The 23,479-nt window shown below is 38.3% G+C and overlaps 1 protein-coding gene across 5 annotated transcripts in view, besides 1 other annotated feature; it reads left to right on the top strand.

The window, feature by feature from the left end:
• Positions 483-777: an enhancer, noted in NCBI's record as "tiled region #4346; K562 Activating DNase matched - State 5:Enh". NCBI's record gives its function as "activates a minimal TATA promoter and a strong SV40 promoter by Sharpr-MPRA in K562 cells {active_cell/tissue: K562}" and the evidence as "EXISTENCE:reporter gene assay evidence [ECO:0000049][PMID:27701403]".
• Positions 3,752-23,479, top strand: part of ABCB11 (ATP binding cassette subfamily B member 11) — a 115,935-nt gene continuing 96,207 nt past the window's right edge. For 3 of the 5 annotated variants that reach the window (XM_017005165.2, XM_011512078.3, XM_011512080.3), the window contains exons 1-5: positions 3,752-3,851; positions 16,924-17,128; positions 18,277-18,298; positions 20,722-20,773; positions 21,566-21,804. In XM_017005165.2, the coding sequence (XP_016860654.1) occupies positions 16,951-17,128; positions 18,277-18,298; positions 20,722-20,773; positions 21,566-21,804 (491 nt within the window). In that variant the 5' untranslated portion in view covers positions 3,752-3,851; positions 16,924-16,950. The remainder of the gene's footprint in view (positions 3,852-16,923; positions 17,129-18,276; positions 18,299-20,721; positions 20,774-21,565; positions 21,805-23,479) is intronic. The other 2 variants (NM_003742.4, XM_006712817.4) reach the window with 2 other exon arrangements.

The raw sequence follows: 23,479 nt of genomic DNA, 5'->3' as shown, positions 1-23,479 counted from the left end.
CTTCCCTGTGTGATGGATACATGTCCATGTCCAAGGAGACCTTAAAAGCCACATGTTGAGGATGGTAGAGCTTCTGTCAGCCTGGGTCTCTGAATGACTGCATGGAGCAGAGCACCTTTGCCCAACACCGATTTCCCCTTATTCAAGGCCTACTGGACTTCACATGAGGGGAAATAATTAGCAAGTATCACTACCTTAACCAAATCATCCAACAAGTAAGTGGCAAAACCAGGATCTAAAGCCAGTTCTTTGTGACTTCACAAGCCTGTGCTCTTTTCACTATACCATTCTGCCTCCCTCTGCAGTCAACTAAACTACAGAAATTGTGTCCTTCCACACAGCTTGCTTTAAAAATACATAAGCTACCTAAGAAAGCTCTAATTTAGACATTTTTCTCTCTGCTAGTCTCTATGCCACAAAAAAACATAGCCAATTATATTGTGTTAACTGACTCATGCTGGCTTTACACAATTTATATTGATTTTCAGGGTGGTAATAACCAGCTTCTGTGATTGGTGTGCATGTGCAAGACTTCCTGCCTAACCCATCCTTCTTGTGGCTCAGCTTTGTAAACACTGGCCCTGGGTGGCCGTGAACAGAAGTTCTTATCTTAGACTGCATGCAACTCATCCTACTGGCACTGAAAGCCCTTCTTTGTCTTTCTTCACCTACTTAAGCAAATTTACAAGCCACTTTTTGCCTCTTCTCTCAGCAGCCATCTTGGTCCTTTCAATGTTGCCTGTGTGCACTCATGCTGTATTTATGACCTGGTCCCTCTCATACTTTGAGATATAACTCAAGTCCTTCCTTCTTTGAGAATCCATACTGATGGGTCACTTTTTAAATACTTAAGGTCTGCATCAAACATTATAACATTTGCTGTTCTTCTTTTTTATTCTTACTTGGTTTATATACTAAGCTTTATTATCCTTTTAAGGTTAAAACTTTCTCAAGGACACTAACTGTAATGTGTACAACTTGGTAGCCAGCGTAACATTTGACATAGTGTCTTGTAAAAAGAAGATACTCAATCAGTTTTTGAATGATTCAAAGAGTAAAATAATGGCAACTTCTTTTATCTCTTCCATAGTGCAATCTTCAATATTTTTTAAACAACTATTGGCTGAATTCTACCATTGTGGTTTAGAGCTTTCTCTGAGACATTTTTGCTAAGGTTTTGAAACAGGTTCCAAATTGGTCCACAGTGACCTCCAAGGCTCTACAGGAGTGGTCCTCAAGCTTCAGCTCATTGGGCCCCACTCCCAGAGTTTCTGATTCAGTAGGTCTCAGGAAAGGACCAAGAACATACATTCCTACTGGGTAATGAGGAGGCTGCTGCTGGTCCAGTAGTCACACTTTCAGAGCCACTGCCCTGTGAGCTCATGGCACTCCATGATTCCCGCCACACTGACATAATCCCCAGCTGACTTCAGTCTTGCTTACTCCACTCCAGGTTCAGCTTCCTTACATACACCAGGCATGCTCCTGCCCAGAGCTTTGCCCATGTGGTTTCCCCAGATACCCATGTACTTGTTCCTTTACCTCCCTCAGGTCATTCCTCATATGTCACCATCTCAGTGGGCCCTTCCATAAAACCCAGTTAAAAATGGCAACATCCTTCTCCCCTCACACGCTAACTGACACACACACATACACAAACACACTCTCTCTCTCACACAGCATACGTACACACACTCCCTATCATATCCCTTTCCTGCAATGCTTTTCTCCATACCATTTACACCATCTGATGTATTGTATGTGTTACTTCTTTGTCTCCTCTCTATACTGCCCCCTCCCTGCCCCCAGAATGTAAGATTCCTGAGGCAGAGATTCTCGTCTGTCTTATTCATTCCTGAATCCCAGAACTGAGAACAGTGTTTGGCACATAAACATTCAAAAAGAGCCGGTATTTTAATTGGGTGACTGTAGGGACCACAACCCTACCTATTTTCAGACCGTGAACCATAAAGAAGACAAGCTTATAGCTGAAGTGAATTAAGCACGATCAACTCAGTACTCACACTGCCCAGATGTGTCTGGCCAGCATGAGGGTGCAGAGGAAGACACCCTGAACTCTCCAGGGCCCTGGACAGATGGCCACTCTGTCTTCACTTTTCTCATCTATAAGATGAAGTTGTTGGATGATATATCAATATTTACAATGTTGTTTCTAGCTCTAAAACTCTATGCTTTTATCTTCCCTTGGATCTTCATGGCACCAGAAGGAAAGTCTTAGGACCCTTGGACCTGTGAGCAGATCAGCTATAGTCCTGAGTTGACAAATTTCTCTTGGCATTTTTACCCTTTGACTGCTGTCAATAACTTCAGCACAGCAAAGGTAGCAAAATTCTATTGGGAATCTTTTCCCAATCAAAGCTACAGCCCCATAGCTGTGTTGCCTTTTTGGTTTTGTGTGAAGCAAAATTTTTTTCCTGGGTCCTAATTGGTGCCAAATCCAATATTACTACATTTGCGTCAACTCAGAAGTCAACCCATTCAGTTTGCATAGAGGAAACATCTAGAAATCTTGCTTTTCTTTGCTGACCTTGATATATTTGAGATTTGAACATATAATAACATATAAAATTATATGTTATAATTTTGGGTTTTATGGGCTAAGTCATAAACCATCTTATACATAAATTCCAATAGAGAAAAAATGGTGGATGCTGAATTTTAATAAAAAATTTATGACAGAGAAACCTAAAATTGAGAAAATTTGATCTTACAGTTTAATTTCTGCAAATTAAGAAGCACTGGCCCATCAATTGCATTTCAGAGCACAGAGTGGAAGAAGGTTAGCACAGACTGGCATGTGGCTTCACATCTACTAGTTGTTACACCTTAGGAGGATTATTTAACCTCTCTGTGCTTCAGTTTCCCCAACTATAAAATAGAAATGACATGATAGCACCCAACTCCTAGGGCTGTTGAGAGGCCCAAATGAGGTGATACAAATAACATTTTTGAAGTGGGCCAGGCACCCAACCAAGTCTTGACCAATGTTGCCTATTATTATTCATTGCTGAAGGCTGGAGTGAGAGGCATTTAGGGAAAAGTAAGCTCAGGCAAAGGAGAAAAAATAAGAACATTGTAGGAAAAATGGAAAGATTCACAAGAAGGGAGAGGAAGAGGCAGCACAAATATATTGGAGGAGCTCCACATGCTTATTTGACTCAAGACCTGTTCATTTGAACCTTTAGAAAATCGTTCATCTTTGCTTATACAGAGCTTCATCTGGTGTGTCCATGCCAGGGTGCAAGAGTTGTCTGTGCACTCAGACTTTTGAGCAAGGCTGTTTCAAATGTTCTTTTAGGGTATTTGTCTCCACAAAACTCTATAGCTGGGCCAGGAGCATCTGGATCCTGCAACCAGGGATTTTCCAAGAGCAATCTTTTATATTGAGGGGGAAAGTTTAAAGGTATTTTTTTTTTTTGTCTTGTTATGTTTTTAAGTAACTTTTCACAACTACAGGCCTGTAAAAAATAAGGGTTGGGATAGCCTGAATTCCAGGGCTCTTGCTGGGCCCACTCTGCTCAATTTGCCTCTCGTTCCAAGGTGAATCAGCAATTTCCAAGGCCTGTTGACACCCTCAGAGGGTTTCCCAAGCACACTCTGTGTTTGGGGTTATTGCTCTGAGTATGTTTCTCGTATGTCACTGAACTGTGCTTGGGCTGCCCTTAGGGACATTGATCCTTAGGCAAATAGATAATGTTCTTGAAAAAGTTTGAATTCTGTTCAGTGCTTTAGAATGATGAAAACCGAGGTTGGAAAAGGTTGTGAAACCTTTTAACTCTCCACAGTGGAGTCCATTATTTCCTCTGGCTTCCTCAAATTCATATTCACAGGTAAGTAACTTATACTTGTCTCTGCAAATCCATTCCCTCTTCCCTTTAACTCTTACTTTGTGGAGTGGAGTGTTTCTGGTTTATTAAACATTGGTCTCTTGTCCAGTGTAAACAACGCTACAATACTTGGATAGAAACTTACAGGATGCATTAATGATTTCACAACATTGTATACAATACAGATGACTCTTGGTTGCTGTCTTCTTTATAGCAATGCTATTTCATGTATCAATCTCTTAGAGAGAGAGAGAGTGGTGTACATGGGTGTGTGGTACAAATGGCCGAATAGATTGAATAATCTGCTCAAAGTAAAAATACCAGTGGGCTTCTTTTTTAACTTGGCTTTGTGAAAGCACAATTCTGTTTGCTCTGATAATCACAGATTCAATGATCACAAATTCTACCCTTGAAAGCTGGTTTAATGCAGAACTACACCGACTTTATCTTTTCTCCAACACCGTACTCATTTCTTCATTGTCCCGGTTTTCAAAAATATAGATGCAAAAAAAAATGAGCTGTGGATGCATGTTTAGAGGGGAGAAAGTTTGTTTCTAGGATCTAATTTCAGTTTTTAGGTCACCCAAGCCAGTGGGAGTCACATATTGCTAATGGCTTGAGCACAGAGATCAAATATTATTCACACTTCAGACTGGGAATAAAAGACAGTATTTGTCAACATTTTGAGGGGGAATAGCTTTTTAGAGATGTTAGAGACAAATTATAGTGGTTATACCTAAAACTTTTTAATATTAGGAGTTAGTAGTGGTTTTTATTAAACATTTGAAGTGATAACTTATTTATGAGCTGTTGTTTAATAGAAGTTCTTTTCTGTGGGCAACCTCGTCCCCTCACTGCTCACCCCCCTCACCTTGGTTCCCCCTGCTGTGCTCTGTAACACTGTGATTGTCTCTGGTTGAAGCCTCCATTTCCCTGTCTAGGAGCTTCTGTTTACACTCCACCCCACTCTAGATTGCAAGCCCCTTGAATAATTTTTGTTTCCTAGTACCAAGAATAATGGTGACAAATATTAGGGGATGACTCCTAAAAATGGATTAAGAAGCTATTTAGGGGGAAAATGCCCATTTTGTGGTTTTAAAAGATGCTACAATTGCCATAAAATGCCCAAGTTTCATTGCAGAAATCAAATACTGGAGTTGTGTTTTGCTTGGTCAAGAGGAAAGAACTGGCCGGGCGCGGTGGCTCACGCCTGTAATCTCAGCACTTTGGGAGGCCGAGGCGGGTGGATCATGAGGTCAAGAGATCGAGACCATCCTGGCTAACACGGTGAAACCCCGTCTCTACTAAAAATACAAAAAATTAGCCGGGCGCGGTGGCGGGCGCCTGTAGTCCCAGCTACTCGGGAGGCTGAGGCAGGAGAATGGCGTGAACCCGGGAAGCGGAGCTTGCAGTGAGCCGAGATTGCGCCACTGCAGTCCGCAGTCCGGCCTGGGCGACAGAGCGAGACTCCTCTCAAAAAAAAAAAAAAAAAAAAAAAAAAAAGAGGAAAGAACTGTACATTTAGAGACAAAGAATCGCTGTGGCAGTTAACTTTGGTGTTACATTCTGTTTTCTTCCTAAGCAATTCTTTAGTCCTCTACCTCAACGGTGCCTCTGAAGAAAGGACTTACGTGGCCAATGGGATCACCGTGTATTTATTTCCCTTCCCTATCAGCCATAGCCCTCAGGGCTGGAAGGGCCTCATTTTAGTCTATTCCCAGACTGGGTCACCCACAGTGTTGACACACAGCATCAACCGACAGTGAGCTTATCTGGAAAATAATGCCTTTCTATTTTCTTTGTTTCTTAGCATATATTAAATGTTTCTTTCCTTCTCTAATAATCTTTTAGATAAAGAAATCATTTGCTGAGCTGATAATAACAAAAGTATCCTACCTACATTTTTAAATGTCAGCAGTGAAAGACGTTTTAAGGGCTTTAAAAAAAAAAAAAAGAAAGAAAAGAAAACTGTAGTTTAGAAAGGACATCCAAATTGAAGAGGAGCAGGGGCAGTTCTGTTCTCTCTGAGCAGCTCTGTGAAGGGGGAGTTTGTGGCGCTGGGGTCTTGAAAGTCTTTACAGAGGGCAAGACTTCACAAGAGAAAAGCCGTGGAGGGACCCTCACATGATCAGAATATTCACAGTGTGATGTGGGGCATGGTGGGGGCGGGTGCTCTCCACTCCCGGGCCTGGCTTGGTTCCCCTCACTGTCCTCAGCTCCTCAATGGCTTTGAGGACATTTAGATTCTTCTTACCATCTTGGCCTGAATGTGGAAAAAGCTCTTTTTCCTTAATTAAGTCTAGAAAAGGTCAACATGTTTCAAAAAATAGCATTTGGGTGGAAATTAAATGGAAAGTGGAACAAATCTCTGCAGAGAAAATGCAAAACCCTAGAACACAGACAGAGCCATCTCTGCCTCTTGGTCTGGTGGGATCTCTATTCTTCTCAAACCCATTTCCTAACCTCTGTGGGTGTGGGCTCCAAGTCCCAAGCCTTATCAGGGTAACTTTTTTTAAGTATAAATTTGATCATATCCTTTCTTGCCTAAAAGACTTCATTAGCTTCCCATGGCCTTTAGGATAAGGTCCCAAGTTCTCAGTGGTAAGGATCATGAGGCCCTGAAGGATCAACCAGCCACATCCTCCCGAGTTGCCCATCCGCCTCCCTGAGATTCACTGGGCTCCTTCAGCCTTGGACCCGGCTGCCCTGTCTCTTGCATCTGGGCCTTTGCATGTGTCCTTCCCTGCCTGGACTGCTCTTCCCTCTCCTCTTCCCATGGAAAACTTGCTCTCATCTTCAACATCTCATGCTAAGCACTTGCTCCAGAGCCTTCTCCAGCTCTCTAGACAAGGCAGCTCCTCTGCATCAGGGCCCAGGAGATGCCTGTATTTCCCCTTTCCTCACTGCCATCCTGCTTGACGCCTAATTTCCCAGATAATGTCTGCCTTCCCTGCCACATTGTAAGTTCCATGAGGGTAGGGCTGGCTGGAGGGCTGGTGCTCCACACAATTTTTAGGGTAGGTAAATCAGGTCCTCAGAGATTTCTTCCTGGGCCTCAGGCTGCCCTGAACTGATCTCACAGTACAGGGATTGACATTTTCTGCAAAGAGCTGTATAGTGAATATTTTAGGTATGGGAGAGAGAAAGGGCCATACATTCTGTCACTGTAGCACAGAAGCAGCCAAAGATAATAGAAAATGAAAGGGTATGACTGTGTTCCCATAAAACTGTATTTATAAAATAGGATGGTAATGGTATCTTTCAGCCCAGAAGGATTCAGCTCTGGAGACACCTTTTCTCAACCCTGACCCTTTTTTTTTCTTCAATTCTTCTACAATACCAATAGCCAATTGCTAGTATTGATCCCAGCCATTGGTGAAGATCAGCCTGTCCATCTGTTGCTCCAGGCTGACATCCCCACCAGTTCACACTAGCAGCCTTGCTGTAGTGGCAAGTAGTGGGCACTGACATTTTATGCTCTCAGGATCTTTGATTTCTTTCTGGCATGGCTTGTAGAACCCTGTATCTCCTCCAATTTTGACAGCCTCAGGACCTTTGTGGTACTACTCATTCAGGCCCATTTTTAAGGTCAGTCAAAGTACTAGGTTCTCTCAAGTGACCATCTAGCTGATGGTCTCTCTTCCCCATCCCCTCCTCCCCAGCAGTGAGGTCTTTCAGAATGCTGTTGTTAGAGTGTAAGATAGAAACATCTTTGATATGTTTTTACCAGTAATTGTCAGGAGACTGTTCTCTAATGTGCGTATCTGTGTTGATAAGATTACACATTTTATCAAGAGAAAACTTCAACCCTGAATAGTTAAACAGAAGCGCATATAGTGTGCAGGTTATAGACCACATGTCACTTAGCAGAGAGGAACACTGGAGTTGGTGTGGACAATTAAGAATTCTTGGGGGATTCTATGATTAGGTGTCCAAAGTCTGCCAACTAGTGCTTAGACATCTCGATTTCCTGCTTTTTACTCTTAGATTCCCTTAAGTTTATTGGAAAATACATTTTTCTGGAATGCCTTGAAAATTCTCAGTCTGTTCCTGAAGAGATTTTGGGGAGGTTAAAATAATTTAATATGTTAAAGTGCACAGTAAAAATGAAATAGCATTGGATGTTATTTTCAACTCTGAGTTTTCTTGTGTTAGTTTAAGTAAAATTTTGTTATTGTAAATTTGTTAAGAAACCCTAATTAAAGCCTCCTTCAATGTATGAAACTCAAATCAAGTTATTAGGTTAGGTGCTAAAAAAGTGTTACAGCTAATGGCCGAGACAGTAGAACTAGGTGACATTATATCTACTTGTAATCAGTGAGGAAAAATAATGTGGCAAAACACCATGGTACTCTTAAATCATAGAAAGTGCCAAATGAGGAGGAGGTACACTCTCAAGAACCTGCAAAACAAATATGTTTATCACCAAAAACTAGATTCCCACTGCATTTCCAGGGTTTCAGAGACTGGCAGCCATGTCCTCCAGCATCTGATGTATGGGTTTCCCAACATCTCATCTGATAAAAAAAATAATTTGCCAGTGGAAGAAAACATGGTCTAATAATATATATCAGATATATATTCTACATTCATAATGATACATGGCAATTCATCTAATATTCAATTCTGAAAACCTCTTTTGTGGCAAATATCACAGGCAAGGCCTTCATTCTTTCTAGAAATTTCGGTTTTTCAGTGTACTTTCCCAAACTTAGTGTTATAAAATTCCCAGTGTTTTTGTGGGTACATGCAAGTAATTAAGATTTTCAGCACAATGGCCTTCAAAAATCATCACAGCCGTTTCTAAGCTGCCCAAAGATAAAGGGACTAGCTTCCATTTCTGACTGAACAACCAGTGCATGCCTTTAGCCCTAGAGAGTATACATCTTTTGAAGTATAGCTCCTTGGCATGTCAAAAAAGAACAGTGGACTACCAAAGTTCAGAGTGATGCACTTGATGCTGAGAAAGAAAACAAACAAAGAAAACAAACAAAAGAACACCCTGTTCCATTTCATAGCTGGCCTGGTACTCACACCTAAGCCATGTTATTCTCTTATTAGACATAAACAATCTCACAGAGTACCAACCTCAAAGTTACTTTGAGTCAATGCAAGGTCAATTTATACTTTGTTCTCAGCAAAGGCAAAATCAAGGTCACTGTGCAACCCACAAAATACCAAACACCTTGCTAAATGAATGGCTGTTATTTCTTTATCTAGTCATAACATAGTCCCAGCTTTTTAACAGCATCCAATTTAGAACAAATACCCACTACATTAGATCCTTCCCCAAATCATCTGACTAAAGCCCGAGTTCTGTAACAGGTTCTTTCTAACACCATTTTACTGAGATGCCCCACAGCCCCTGACAGTGTGTTCACCCTTGGTGCAATGAGTAGCAAACACGACTTGTTTAGCTACAGATGTATTCTTGGTGCTCACTGACTGAGGGGCATTGACAATGCTGTGGGCATAGAGACGCATGATTTAATGGATTTTTGCCTTTTAGAATGTAACTTTTAACAGTAAAATAGAAACCACAAAAACTATTTGTAGGGGTATTCGGAAAGAAGCAAAATGTAAGCAATTGAAACCTAATGTATGGAATTGACAAGGGGACACAGAAGGAAAGTAAAGAGAATAGGTTAGTGGATTAGTATTCCTGTGCTTAATGGAGGACAGATTACTACAAATGACCCTGGAAGGGCAGATGGGGTGGAGGATCAGGTAGGGAGGACTCGGTCTTTAAGCTTGAAGGGCAAAGGGAACTTCAGCTGCTATCTCCCTTTTGCTGGCTGCTGTAGAGATACAGTTTCATTTCATCTTCACACCAGTCCTGCAAGGTGGATTTTACCACCATCACCACCACTTCCTGACATGAAAGATGGAGAAATCAGGACGTGGAGAGAGATTTTAAAATAAATCCAACTACGTAGAGTGAAGCAACAGGTGTATCAGGATCTGAGAGACTCCAAATTTCGTGGGCAAGACACTACACCACTGTCCTCTAAATACTACGAGGTATTTGCACACCAGTGGAAAGAAATCTTTTTAAATGGAGAGCTAAGCCAAGGGAAAAAATAAATGGAGACTAAATTTTTTTAATATTGTATTTTAAAATTAGGAAATGCAATAACACATCTGTGGTTAAATGTTGTTTATTATTTTCTCATTATTAAAGAGTCTCTCTGTTTTTTTGAAAAAAAAATTTGGTTAAAACTTCAAAAATTGTGTAACCGGCAAATGTTACAGTCTCTGAATATAATACTGCTATAGTGAGCAAATTTTGTTCTTGAATAAAATAACTTTGAATCTGGTTCCTTTAGTATATTTTAAACCAGCCTCATAAACTACTTAATTAAATAATATTTCTTACTCTACTTCTTAATATGCTATTAAGGGACATTCTACAAAATAAGTGATGAGTACTCCTCAAAACTGCCAAGGTCATTAAAAACAAGGAAAGTATGAGAAATTGTCATAGCCAAGAGTTGCTTAACAAGATATGACAACTTAATATAACATTATAAACTTGGTATCCTAGATGGAATCCTGGAACAGAAAAGGAATTAGGTGAAAAATAAGGGAATTTGAATAAATTATGCACTCTAGCTAATAATAATGTATCAATATTGGTTCATTAATACTAATGCAAGACATTTACAGTGCACATTGGTACGTTAATACTAATGTAAGACATTAATACTAATAATGTAAGACATTAATAACTGGGTGTGGGGTACATGGGAATTTTGTACCATCTTCACAATTTTTCTATAAAATCAAAACTGCTCTAATTTGTTTAATTAAAAGAGATTCACCAGGGTTAAGAAAAAAATTATTTTCTGTCATGAAGTGTTTTATTTTCTGCAAAATGATTTTGTTTTATTTAGGAGTGGTATGCTGCTTAAGATGGAAAAATACATGATGATGGTGCATAGTGCCTCCATCCCAAGCTTGCTAACATTAACCCTTTTGTGGCATTATCCAGCTTTCCATATGTTCTTTTTTAAGTTTTATTTTATTTTATTTTAAGTTCTGGGGTACACATGCCAGATGTGCAGGTTTGTTACATAGGTAAACGTGTGCCATGGTGGTTTGCTGCACCTATCAATCCATCACCTAGGTATTAAGCCCGGCATGCGTTAGCTATTTTTCCTAATGCTCTCCCCACTGCCCTCCCCCAATAGGCCCCAGTGTGTGTTGTTCCCCTCCCTGTGCTCCCTGTATCCATATCATGAAATATTTTAAAGCCACAGGAAAAAAAAGAGAAAAACTTAATGAACACCAAGTTACCTCCTTCCAACTTTATCGTATCTTAAACCCTATGCCATACTTGCTGGAACTTTTTGTTTTAAGAAATTAAAACATGCAGATACAGTTCAGGGGCCCTCTGAGCCCCTCCCCAGTCTCATTCCACTTCTTTTCCTCAGAGGTAACCACTATCGTTAATTCAGTGCTTATCAGTTTCAGGTAAGTCTTTATATTTCTACTGCGTATCTATATATCTACGAACATTACAAATAGTGATTTGCAGGTAACACAATTTACATAAATGGTATCATACAGTATCATTCTGAAACTTTGTCTTGTTTGTTTAAACTTACGTTTGTTGAGATTTATCCATGCCAATTCATTGATTTTAATGGCTAGATAATATTCCACTGTGTGTCTATTCTATAGATTATTGAATCAATCTCTTGTTCATTTGTATTTTCTCCTAGCTTTTTGTTTCCAAAGAAGTACTGCAATAAACAAGCTTACACATATCTCTGCATGCATTTTCTGAGTTTCAATCTCGGCTGTATCACTTACTAACTTGTGCTCTTGAGCTTGTGACTTAGTCCTTCATACTTTAGTGCCCTTATCTGGAAAACGGGGATAGTCATAATACCCATCTCAGGAGGCTGTTGGGAGGTTTTATGGCATAGCATGTATAAAGCATTTAGAACAGTGCCTGCCACGTATTAAATGCCATTTCATTGTTAATTATTTTTTAAATTGTTGAGGAAAATACCAGAGAAGGATATTCTGGGATCTGGGGTATTAACATGTTTAGCCTTGCTAGATATTTCCAAATTGCTATCCAAAGTCATTCAGTCAATTTATATTCTCATTAGCTGTGCATGAAAGGACTCTTTCCTCCACATCTTAACAACACTTTGTACTACTGGATATTTCATCTTTGCCAATATTTCAATGAATAGTTTTAGTATTCACTGCTGATCATTACCCCAAATTTATTCATTAGGGTTGCAAAATAATGATTTTTTTTTAATTTTATAGGTTTTCAAAACAGGAATGGATAATGATTTTTACTGAATACTTTTTGCATTTATGAAAATGATTAATTATTTTTTACCTTAAATAATCATTGCATTCCTGGGATCAACATTGCTTCATTTTTTTCATAAACTGCTGAATTATGTTTAACATATTTTATTTATCATTTTAAAATCTGTTTTCAGAAGTAATTATAAGCCTATTTTTATCCTTCTTTGTTTTGATGTCAAAATTATACTTGCTTTATAAAATGATTTGGGTAGCTTTTCTTATTTTTCTTTTCACCAAAACTATTTATATAAGATTAGAATTATCTACTGTTTGAAGTTTTGGTAAAATTTGCCTGTAACATTATCTAGCCCTGTTGTTTTTTGAGGTGGGAGACTTTTGAATATTGAATCAATATTTTAATAGCCATTACTTTTTAAGTTTTCTATTCCTTTATAAACAAATTTTGATAACTCATATTTTTCTAGAAAATTAATCTTAACCTGGTTTTCAAATTTACTACCATGAAATTACTTAGTATTTGCTTATGATTTAAAACTTTATTTATTTTACCTTTCCCATTTTCAATTAGTATTTGTGATTTATATCTCTTTTCTTCAACAGTCTTATTGACTTGCATGTTTTTAGTTTTCAAAAAACAACTTTTGAATTGATATATCCTTTCTACTGTTTTTCATTTTATTTTGTTTTCTATCTTATAAATCTTGCATTTTTTAGGTTCTTGATTAGAACATAATTCATTCATTAATCTCTTAAAAGCAAAATGCATTTATCTTTATAAATAAATCTTGAAGTATCTTTTTAGCTGTAGCCCACAAGATTTTACATATTTATCACCATATTTTAAATATTTTCTATTTCTGTCATGATTTCATCCTTAACCCATATTTATCTGCATATGTATTTTAAAGTTTGTAACACACACAATTTTACTGAGTATATGTGTGTGTGTTTTACTAGTGTTTAATTTTTTAGTTTTTATTTAATTGCATTGTCAGAATATACACCCTTAAGAATAACAACAATATAGAGAAATACATAGTTTTTCATTTGTAGAAATTTTTTATGGCTTATTAATGGGTAAGTTTTATAAAAATGCCAAATGTAATTGAAAAATGTCTTGGTTGCAGGTTCCATAGTAATGAAATTTGTCATGAAAATCTATCGACATTGTGTTACAATTATAATTAAATATATATTTGATTAAATCAAATGAAATTGCCAACATTTAATCTTTTTTTACTTAGAAAGTTCAACTAATATATGAACAATGTTCAACCAAATTTTAAGAAAAATTTTATGTAGTAAATTACATAAAATTACTTATTTTTTATTTGAAAAGCTTTTATGTTTTCTAATTTTTTGTCTGTTTATCAGTTTCTAATAAAGTTGTGTTTAAATTTTTCATTACAGTTGCAGGCTATGTTGTGTTAGGTTGCTGGGTATATACAATCCAATAATTGATTTGTCTTCTAGCTGGATTGTACTTTTAATTATTATATGTCCTTTATTATATCCATTATTGTTTTGAACATGGATTCTATTTTTCTGACATTAACATAACAGCTTTGAGACATCAGTATTTGCATGACGTATCCTTTTCACCCTTTAATTTTGGACCATTTTTATGATTTTATAAATTATTTCATTTATAATAAGTATATGTCTGGATTGGCTGGGTGTGGTGGCTCATGCCTGTAATCTCAGCACTTTGGGAGGCTAAGGCAGACAGATAATCAGAGGCCAGGAGTTTGAGACCAGCCTGGCCAATATGGTGAAACTCCATCTCTACTAAAAATACAAAAATGATCCAGGCATGGTGGCTCATACCCGTAATCCCAGCTACTCAGGAGGCTGAGGCAGGAGAATCACATGAACCCAAGAGGTGGAGGTTGCAGTGAGCCAAGATTGAGCCACTGTACTCCAGCCTGGGCAACAGAGCAAGACTTGGTCTCAGAAAAAAAAAAAAAGTGTATGTCTTGACTTTAAAAAATTCAATAAACTGACCTGTCTTTTTTTAAAAAACAGCCTTTTGAGGGTATAATTTACATATCACAGAGTTCACCTATGTAAAGTATTCAATGGTTTTCAATATATTAACAGAGTTGTGCGACCATCACCATAATCTAACTTTAGAACATTTTCTTCATCCCCAAAAGAAACCTTATATCTGTTACCAGTCACTCCTCATTCCCCTCCCACCCCTACCCCTACCCCAGCATTAGGCAACCACTTATTTATTTTCTGTCCCTATAGATTTGCCTATCTTGGACATTTCATGTAAATGGAATCATACAGTATGTGGTCTTTTGAGACCGTCTTCTTTCACGTAGCATGATTTTGAGGTTCATCTGTGTAGCATGTATCAGTACTTCAATCTACATACATTTACCGTAATTACTGAACCGTTTGGACTATTTTCAATAATATTCATTTATGTTTTCTGTTTGTTATGCTTTTTTTAGTTTCTTTAGTTTTTTTTAACTTTTGTTGGATTGATGACATTTTCTACATACTTAGTTTTTAATCCTTTGCTTATTTAGAAACTATAGATTTTACTGGTACTTTTTCATTGCTTTTTCTTAAAATTTTCAGATATTGGTTGAACTTTGTTCAGATATTAGTTGAACTTTGTAATTAAAAAATGGTTAAATATTGGCAATTTCCTTTGGTTTAATCAAACATATATTTAATTATAGTTGTATAAATATGTATTTAATTATAATTATAAAACAATGTCCTCAGATTGTCATAACAATGAACTTAACATACTTTATCTGCATATCGAACACCTTATCTTGTGTTCAAGTTACACTCATATCTACATACTGTGTAGAGTTTTAATTATGTTCTTTTGAAATATAAAAGGTTATACTTGGTATCAATATTTGATTGGCCGTCCTGACATATTTTGTTAACTCTTGTGCTCACCCTTGTTTCTCTCTTTCATGGCTCCCTTCTGGATACTCCTTCTGGCTAAGGCACATCCTCTAGTTGTTGTTTTATGCAGGTCTGTAAGTGTAAACCCTCTGACTTTGAATGTCTGTAAAGATGCTGAATAATTTTTTGGCTCAGTGTAAAATTCTAAGTTAAAGATTACTTTTTTTTCTCATCACTTTGAAGACATTACGCCACTGTTTTCTAGCCTCTATTGCTGATGAGAAAACTTCTGTCAGTCTGTTCTTTATATTTGAATATGCATTTTCCCCTTTCACAGTGTTTAGGATGGATTTTGTTTATTCTTGATGCTTTACTACAGTTTGATTCTTGAACAACACAGGTTGCAACTGTGGAGGTCCACTTGTATGGGGATTGTTTTCAACCAATCTCAGATGAAAAATATAGTATTCTCAGGATGCAAAACCAGTGGATATGTAGAGCCAATTTTTCCTATGCACAAGTTCTGCAAGCCAACTGTAGGACTTGTGTATACCTGGATTTTGGTATATGCAAATTTTGGTATACATGGGAGTGCTAGAACCAATCTCCTGCATATACTGAGGGACATTTCTATATAATGTATCTAAGTTTTGACTGATATCTATTCCAATCAATTCTTGGTGTCTACTGTTAATTTGAAGAATCAGGTAATTGCTTCTGGAAAATTCTTAGCAATTATCTCTTTAATTATTACACTTCTGTCATTCTCCACTCTCTGCTTCTGGGATTCCAATTAGGTGAATTTAGAAGATTTTCATAACTCCCCCTTTCTCTCTTTTATTTGTACATGTGTGTATATATGTATGTAATACATATCACGGTCTCCTCCTGTGACCTCCATGGGTCTGCATTTCATCATAAGGAATAGATGCTTCAATGGTGGCCAGCAGTTTCCTCAGGGTCTTCTCAGCAGTGCATGGGGCCCACATTAGCTCCTCTGGCTCCAAGCGAAGAGATGGTCTCTAGCCCCCTGTTTGATTTGGGGCACTTACAGTCCTCTCGCCAGCTAAACTCTCACACTCGTCAGCATCCAGACGCTGAGGGGAAAATACCAGCTGCTTCTGTGCTCTGCTTACTCTTCGGTACTTCTCTGCCATTTCTGGTTCCTGAAGATGTTTATTTTTATTTATTTGAGTCTGACTGTATCTCTTTTTAAAAACATGTTATCCACCATTGCTATATATTTGAAGCAGAGAAAGTTAGTGAAGCATAAACTTCATGCTGAATCGAGTGTCTATATCCTGGAATTCTCAGCCTGTACCCTCTATAAACTAATTTTTCCACTGTGAATAAGACTAATCATGACTCTGTCGACATTTACATTTTATTTAGAAAATGTCTTCCTTCTGTTCCTTTGATCCAAGCTTGACTCACCTTACCTTGAGGTTGCATTTACAAAGGAACACTGAAGGTTACCCAACAGTATGTGGGTGTCGTTCATCAACTACAGTGACTCAAGAATATCACCAGTTGGTTTGCCTTTCTCATGGTTTTAATGTTTTCTCATTAAAAATAAATAAAGCACAGATAAGCAGAAAGAATAACCATCCATCCAACAACTAGAGGAAAATTTATCAATGGTTTTGCTTTATCTTTCCTATAATTAAGCTATAAAAAACAACCATCCATGTAACAACTAGAGAAAACCTTTATCAATGACTGTGGCTTATCTTTCCTGATAATTAGGCTCTTTCAGGGAGTTATTAACCGATTTTAAAACTTTTGTCTGAGATTGATTAGTAAAGATTATTTCTTGAACCAAATTGTTCTTTCGTTTGGCTACTTTGATTAAAGAAGAAAGAAGAGATAATAATTGCAATGATTCTTTTATTTTATTTTATAGGGTCGTTGGCTGTGGGTTGCAATTACCATGTCTGACTCAGTAATTCTTCGAAGTATAAAGAAATTTGGAGAGGAGAATGATGGTTTTGAGTCAGATAAATCATGTGAGTGGCTTTTTTCCCTCACTGCATCTTGTACAAGGAGAGGTGAGAACAAAAGTAGGACAAGCTGGTCAAGTTTCAAGGAGCAGAAAAAAATCAGCAACAGTAGGTAGAAGTATCATTGTGTGTGATTCTTATACACAACTGTGTGGCTCTCCCTAGAATCCATGTAACGTAATATCTGAAAGCACTAGGTAAGAACACACCAAGTGTGTGTAAATGAAAGCATCTCTCACCAACACCTTTCCTAGATAGAGTAGGGTTGTTCCAGTGGTGGCTGTTATGACTACCTTTAGTCCTGTATTGTTATTATTAATCATAATTGAGTGAGCGCTCCTCCTTAGGAAGAACTGTGCCCAGACTCTGCAGACCAGAATGAGATCATGTGGAGGGGGCCTATAGCACTAGCACCTGGGATGTCCTGGGCTCAGATGGTTCTAAGCTATTGTTTTCTAACCCTATGATTTTACATTTTACAGATGACAAAACTGAGACTTGGATATGTTTTTGAAACTTGGCAAGGAACTCATGAGTAAAATTAATGGAACCATAATTCTAATCCAGTTGTGTTTGATTCCCAAGCCCAAGATATTGCCGTCTGTCAACATTATCATGCTTCTTTACTTTAATAAGAGTAAACAGGCATGATAGTGTTGAATGACAAAGCTCCCTAGTGGCTTCCTTACACCCCTGGCTATAATCACTGACTTTCACCTCCTGCCCTGCATCTATTCTGACCTACACTGGGGAAAACAGTATGTGGTCTCAATCCTATGGCTTCTACTAGTGTAGAAGTGTTAATGACATCTTGTTATTAACATCTTATTGTTAATTTGTGGTCTATATTTTAAACAGATAAATTCTGATGCTTTTAAAGAACCAGACAATAAATAAATATCAATTTTATTTTGTAGTTCAAAAAGTTGCTGTCCATTTGATATTCAGATGATGCAAATATTTCATGTCCTGAAGAAAAGTCCATAAATGAGTAAAGGTAGCAGCACTCCTGGACCCTAAACGAGTGTCTTCGTGTGTGTGTGTGTGTGTGTGTGTGTGTGTGTGTGTGTGTGTGTAGAAAGATAGAGAGAGACAATATGAGCAGGAAGAAAGAAAAGGCAAATAGTCATTTGCTAATATTCCATGAATAAAGGTAATTTATAGGAATATTTTTCTAGAGCAAATTTCTTAATGACTGCGTTGCATTTTGTCATTATTATTAACTGCTTTTTTGCGTTGATTTTTTTTTCTGACAGATAATAATGATAAGAAATCAAGGTAAGTGACTGATTTCAACAATGCAGCATCTTTTCTAGAATAACTCCATAATATTCATATCAAAGGCACAAAGCAGAGAATACTTTCATGCACATTGCACTTCATATAAAATAATATATACAATCCATTCTTTTTCTCTTTAAAATATTACTATAATTTGATTTTAAAAACCTTTTGGAATATCCCTTCTAGGTTAGGTTCAAATGTCCCCTCTGTATTCAGGAATGGCACAGAACTCCTGACCTAAGAGGGAGGAGGAAAAGTTGAACAACAAGTATAATTTCATGGGCATTGGAGAGGTCTCTAAACCCCAAATTCTTGCCACAGGCAAAGAGTAGAGACCTAAAGTGTCATTATTGCATATTTCTGTTCAGCTAAAGATTTTGAATTCTCATATAGAACACATATCAGCTAATCACAGTCTGGTATGAAGGCGGGATTAGATGAGGTCTAATTTAGAAGACAGAAGTGAGGCATCAGGTAAGTTCCTGAAGTGGAGGTGGTGGAAACGGAAGGGTTAAAGGTATTTTAGAAATTTTAAGTAATTCACAGCAGAGGGAGGAAGTGGGAGTGGTAAGATTAGCTTTGGGCTGGGAGTGGTCAGGTCAGCCTGGGCCTCTGAGAGCCACACGTTTCTTATTGCGTGGGAAGTTTAAAAAATGGGTGTGGATGTAGATGAATGGCAAGGAGAGGATGAGTAGGAAGTTGAATGAGTTGCTTTGTTTTTAGAGGAGGTGAGCATGGAATGAGAAGATCACAGCAAATTTTGCCAGAGCTGCTGAGAAGAATGGGAGCAATCCGCAGAGAAATGAAGTGTGCATTGCATGTTGAGCTGGAGAGCACACATTCACTCCATTAATTCATTCGTTTTGCAAATATTGAGTGTCTATTTGGTATCAGACACTATTGTAGGTGCTGCGGGTATAGAAAAGAACAAAATAGGCAAAAATGTTGGCCCTTGAGGAGTTTACATTTTAGTGAGGGAGATATAATAAACATTGTAAATAAATCAAATGTATAGCATGGTAGCTAGTGATAATCTATCACTTTCTTTCTGAGAAGGAAAAATAAACTGGAAATGGAGCTATGAAATGGTGCGTGGGGGGTGGGGTTGAAATTTTAAAGACTTTGGCCAGGCAAGACTCTGTTGAGTAGGTGATTTCAAAGGAAGGTCTAGCGGAGGTGATGGAGCTGTCCCTGTGGTTACCTAAAGAAAATGCACCTGGGGAGAAGGAGTAGCAGGTGCCCGCACCCAGAGGTGGGAACAGTTGGGCATGGACAAAGGTCAGCAAGAGGCCAGGCAAGTGGGGTGTTGAGAACTAGAATATAGTTGGAGGAGGTGAGGTCAGAGAGCCAAGGGCCAGACCGTGGGGAGTCTCAGAAAAAATTTAGGATTCTTTTCTGGGCCAGAAGGGAAGCTTAGGGCAGCTGAGTACTAGACTCTGCCTGTGTTGGTATCCATTCACAAGGTGGTGAGGTTGTGTCCAGCAGGCCCAGCAGCCTGGCTTAAGGAGAAGAGGGCAAACAGCTGGATGGATGCAGGATGAAGTTTACAAGGATGATGTAGAGAAAATAATTGAGGATGATGGTGAGAGTGTGGTTCAAATGCCTGGCAGAGGGACCTTGGCTGCATGGGGAAGGAAGCAAAATCTTAATGGGGTTTAGCAATGGAAGGAAATGAAGGATTTAAAGGACTGCATGGCTCAAGTGAGGTTGACAAATAGGTGTGGAAGGAGGAAGGAAGCGAGAAAATGAGGTACATGGGCAGTCACAGAGTGCCAAGGAGTTAAACATGTCAGACAGTAGTTCCTGGTGACAGCAAGGTCCAGGGTGTATTCATGGACTGCGTGACTCAGGTTAAGTCAAGATCCCCGAAGTTGAAGAGGTCAAATACAGGTTAAACATGGCCTTATGGGAAATGAAATGAATGGGAAATATTAAGGAAATATGATTCTATGAAAAGTGTGGGCATGTTCTTGAATTTTTCATCATTATCAACATTATTTAATGTAGTTGTAATATTTTTAAGCATGAGGAAGCTTTAAAATTAGCTAATCCAACCACTTCAACTTACCCATGAGGAAATGCAGTCACAAATAGATTGAGGGTCATGACTGAGGGCAAAGAGTTATTTGTTGGTATAACTGGGAGTATAGAGGACTTTTTACTTTCTCTCCATACCTCTCAGGTGTTCATCTCTGTGAATCGCTAGTGAACCTGAGATTGAGCTATACTGAAATCTCTAGAAGAGGGAAATCTAGAAGAATAAAGCTTGTGTTTAAGATACTAGGTTTGGCCAGAATTTTCCAGCCAGTGGGGATTTTCTTTCTTACTAAAGAATAACTCATAAAATCACCACCTAGGGAGAATTTCCCATTGTATTGGAAAGGGTGGTCTTTAAATCCTTATGTTTTTCTCATCAGGTTACAAGATGAGAAGAAAGGTGATGGCGTTAGAGTTGGCTTCTTTCAATTGGTAATAAAACTGTGTTGATTTATGGCAGTGGGTGTGCAGCTATAAATTGTTTAGATCATGAGGGGAGTGTTAAATCTTTAGTCATATTGGCAGGTTTTTAACTTCAGTGATCACTTTTTCAGTCATAGGCTTTGCCTATGTGATAACATGCTGAATAACTATTAGAAATATATTGCTCATAAAGCATACAAATCCTATCCAATAGATCAGAAAAATGTCTTGGAAAATTATCACTAAGCCCATGGTTATCATATTTGTAAGGAAAGTCATCACAACAATCACATATATATATTTATTCTTATGACAAATCTTTAGAAATTTTAAAGTATAGGTGTTTACTCCAAATTTTCTCAGGATGGAGGCATTTCTAGGCAGAAATTGGCATTCTTCATAGTCACTATCAGTTCAACAAAACAATTTATAGTATTTCTCAATGCCCCACACAGTTTATCTACTTGGCAATGGCATCAATGACAGTGATTATTTTCCCCTAAGTTGTAGATGAGTAGCTAAAAACGAAAGTCAGCTCCTGAAATAAACAGAATGAATTCAGAGAGCAGGAAATTTATAACATGATCTAACAATGTAAGAGTCTAATGTTTTAGATAATTGATGTACCGTGCCGTTTATTTCAATATAATTAGTATACGAACTCTGCCACTCAATTAAGGTGATTCCCATGAAATTTGGTGTTGAGTACTATTCATGAGAATCTAGTAACTAAATTAAGTAGTCCTCCTACCTCTCCTGCTCTTCACCCATAGATGATCTCTGAACCCTTTGTTTTTCAAGTTTCGGTTTTCTTCATCAACTGACATTTGGCTGATGTTTGTGGGAAGTTTGTGTGCATTTCTCCATGGAATAGCCCAGCCAGGCGTGCTACTCATTTTTGGCACAATGACAGATGTTTTTATTGACTACGACGTTGAGTTACAAGAACTCCAGATTCCAGGAAAAGCATGTGTGAATAACACCATTGTATGGACTAACAGTTCCCTCAACCAGAACATGACAAATGGAACACGTTGTGGGTAGGTTGTTTTTGTTTTTAATTTTTTACTTTTTTGCTCATATCTTAAATTGTAATTCAAAATGTATAGAGGGGATTTTACTGGCTGAGCTGGAGTGGTATCTAACACAAAGAGAATAGAAACATGAGTTTACCCATATTTCTAGAAATTACTCTGCCTCAAGTTTCCTTCTATCTTACTATGTTTTAAAATCTTAATAGAAACAGGATTGAAAGTCACTCACCAAATACATTGCCAAAATGTTACCACTTTATTGAGTATAGGCTTGAGCATGACACTACCAATACTTAACGTCACTAGGGAGGTGACCCATGAATTTTACTTGAGTATCATCTCCAAGAGTTCTATTTTTCCCCCCCACCAACTCCCCTCTGCCCCTTAGCTTTGTGGCTGTGGCTGGTGATCCACTTGATCTTAACCCTTCCATCTGTAATGGGAATTTCATGAACAGGCTGCATTACTTTGAGTAAGGTACACTAGTCTCAACCAGTAGTTGAGTTTGTTTTTTTCTTTTTTCTTTTTTTTTTTTTTTTAAGATGGAGTCTCCTTTTTTGCCCAGGCTGGAGTACAGTGGTGTGATCTTGGCTCACTGCAGCCTCTGCCTCTTGGGTTCAAGTGATTCTCATGACTCAGCCTCCTGAGTAGCTGGGATTACAGGCGCCCGCCACTATGCCCAGCTAAATTTTGTATTTTTAGTAGAGATGGGGTTTCACCATTTTGGACAGGCTGGTCTCAATCTCCTCAGGTCATCTGCCTGCCTCAGCCTCCCAAAGTGCTGAGATTACAGGCGTGAGAAAACTAGGGCAGTGCTGTGATCAGAGGCAACCACGCAGAAGTAGCCAGAACTCACACAGACACAGTCACTATGCTACTGTTTTCTTTGTGATAAGCCTGACAGGCCACCTTGTAATCAGTGAGTCTGTCGTGTACTCAGGGCTGACTCACTGTCATAGCATGGCCTTTGCAGTGTGCCTCATGCTGGCTCAAGTTCAGAACAGCTTATTTGCACATAGGAACCCACATATTCAGGTTCAAGAATCAAGGGTGGGGCACATCTTGGCTAGAAAGACACTAGGAATGGCTCCCTCAGAGGAATTTATAGTTTTCACCTTCATTTTTGAAATTTTCTATAGGCTTGATTCCAGACTATGAATGAGTCCTTCTAAATCATTGACACTCTTCCATAATATTATCTCTCTTAGGGTCTTTCATTCATTTACTCATTCAACCAAAATTTTTTTAAACATCAAATATACCAGGAACTCATGAAAGCATCAAGGACACAGTTGTCTTAAGAGCATGGTCCTAGCCAGGTATGGTGGCTCATGCCTGTAATCGTAACACTCTGGGAGGGTGAGACAGGAGGATTGTTTGAGCCCAGAAGTTCGAGACAAGCCTGGGCAACATAGTGAGACCCTGTCTCTACAAAAATTTTTTTAAAAAATAGCTTGGCTTTGTGGTGTGCCCCTGTCATCCCAGCTACTTGAGAGGCTGAGATGGGAAGATCACTTGGGTCTGGGTGTTTGTGGCTGCAGTTGGCTGTGATTACATGGGTGACAGAATGAGACCCCATCTCAGAAAAACCAAAAGAGTCATGATCCCTATCTGTGTGAAGCTTAAGCCTAGTAAGCCATCATTCAGTCAATGATCATTTAAAAACATATGCAGTGACAGA

The sequence above is a fragment of the Homo sapiens genome, chromosome 2 (genome assembly GCF_000001405.40).
Source record: "Homo sapiens chromosome 2, GRCh38.p14 Primary Assembly".
Taxonomy (NCBI): domain Eukaryota; kingdom Metazoa; phylum Chordata; class Mammalia; order Primates; family Hominidae; genus Homo; species Homo sapiens.
The sequence above is the reverse complement of the archived record's forward strand: the minus strand, read 5'-3'. Positions and strand labels throughout refer to the sequence as shown.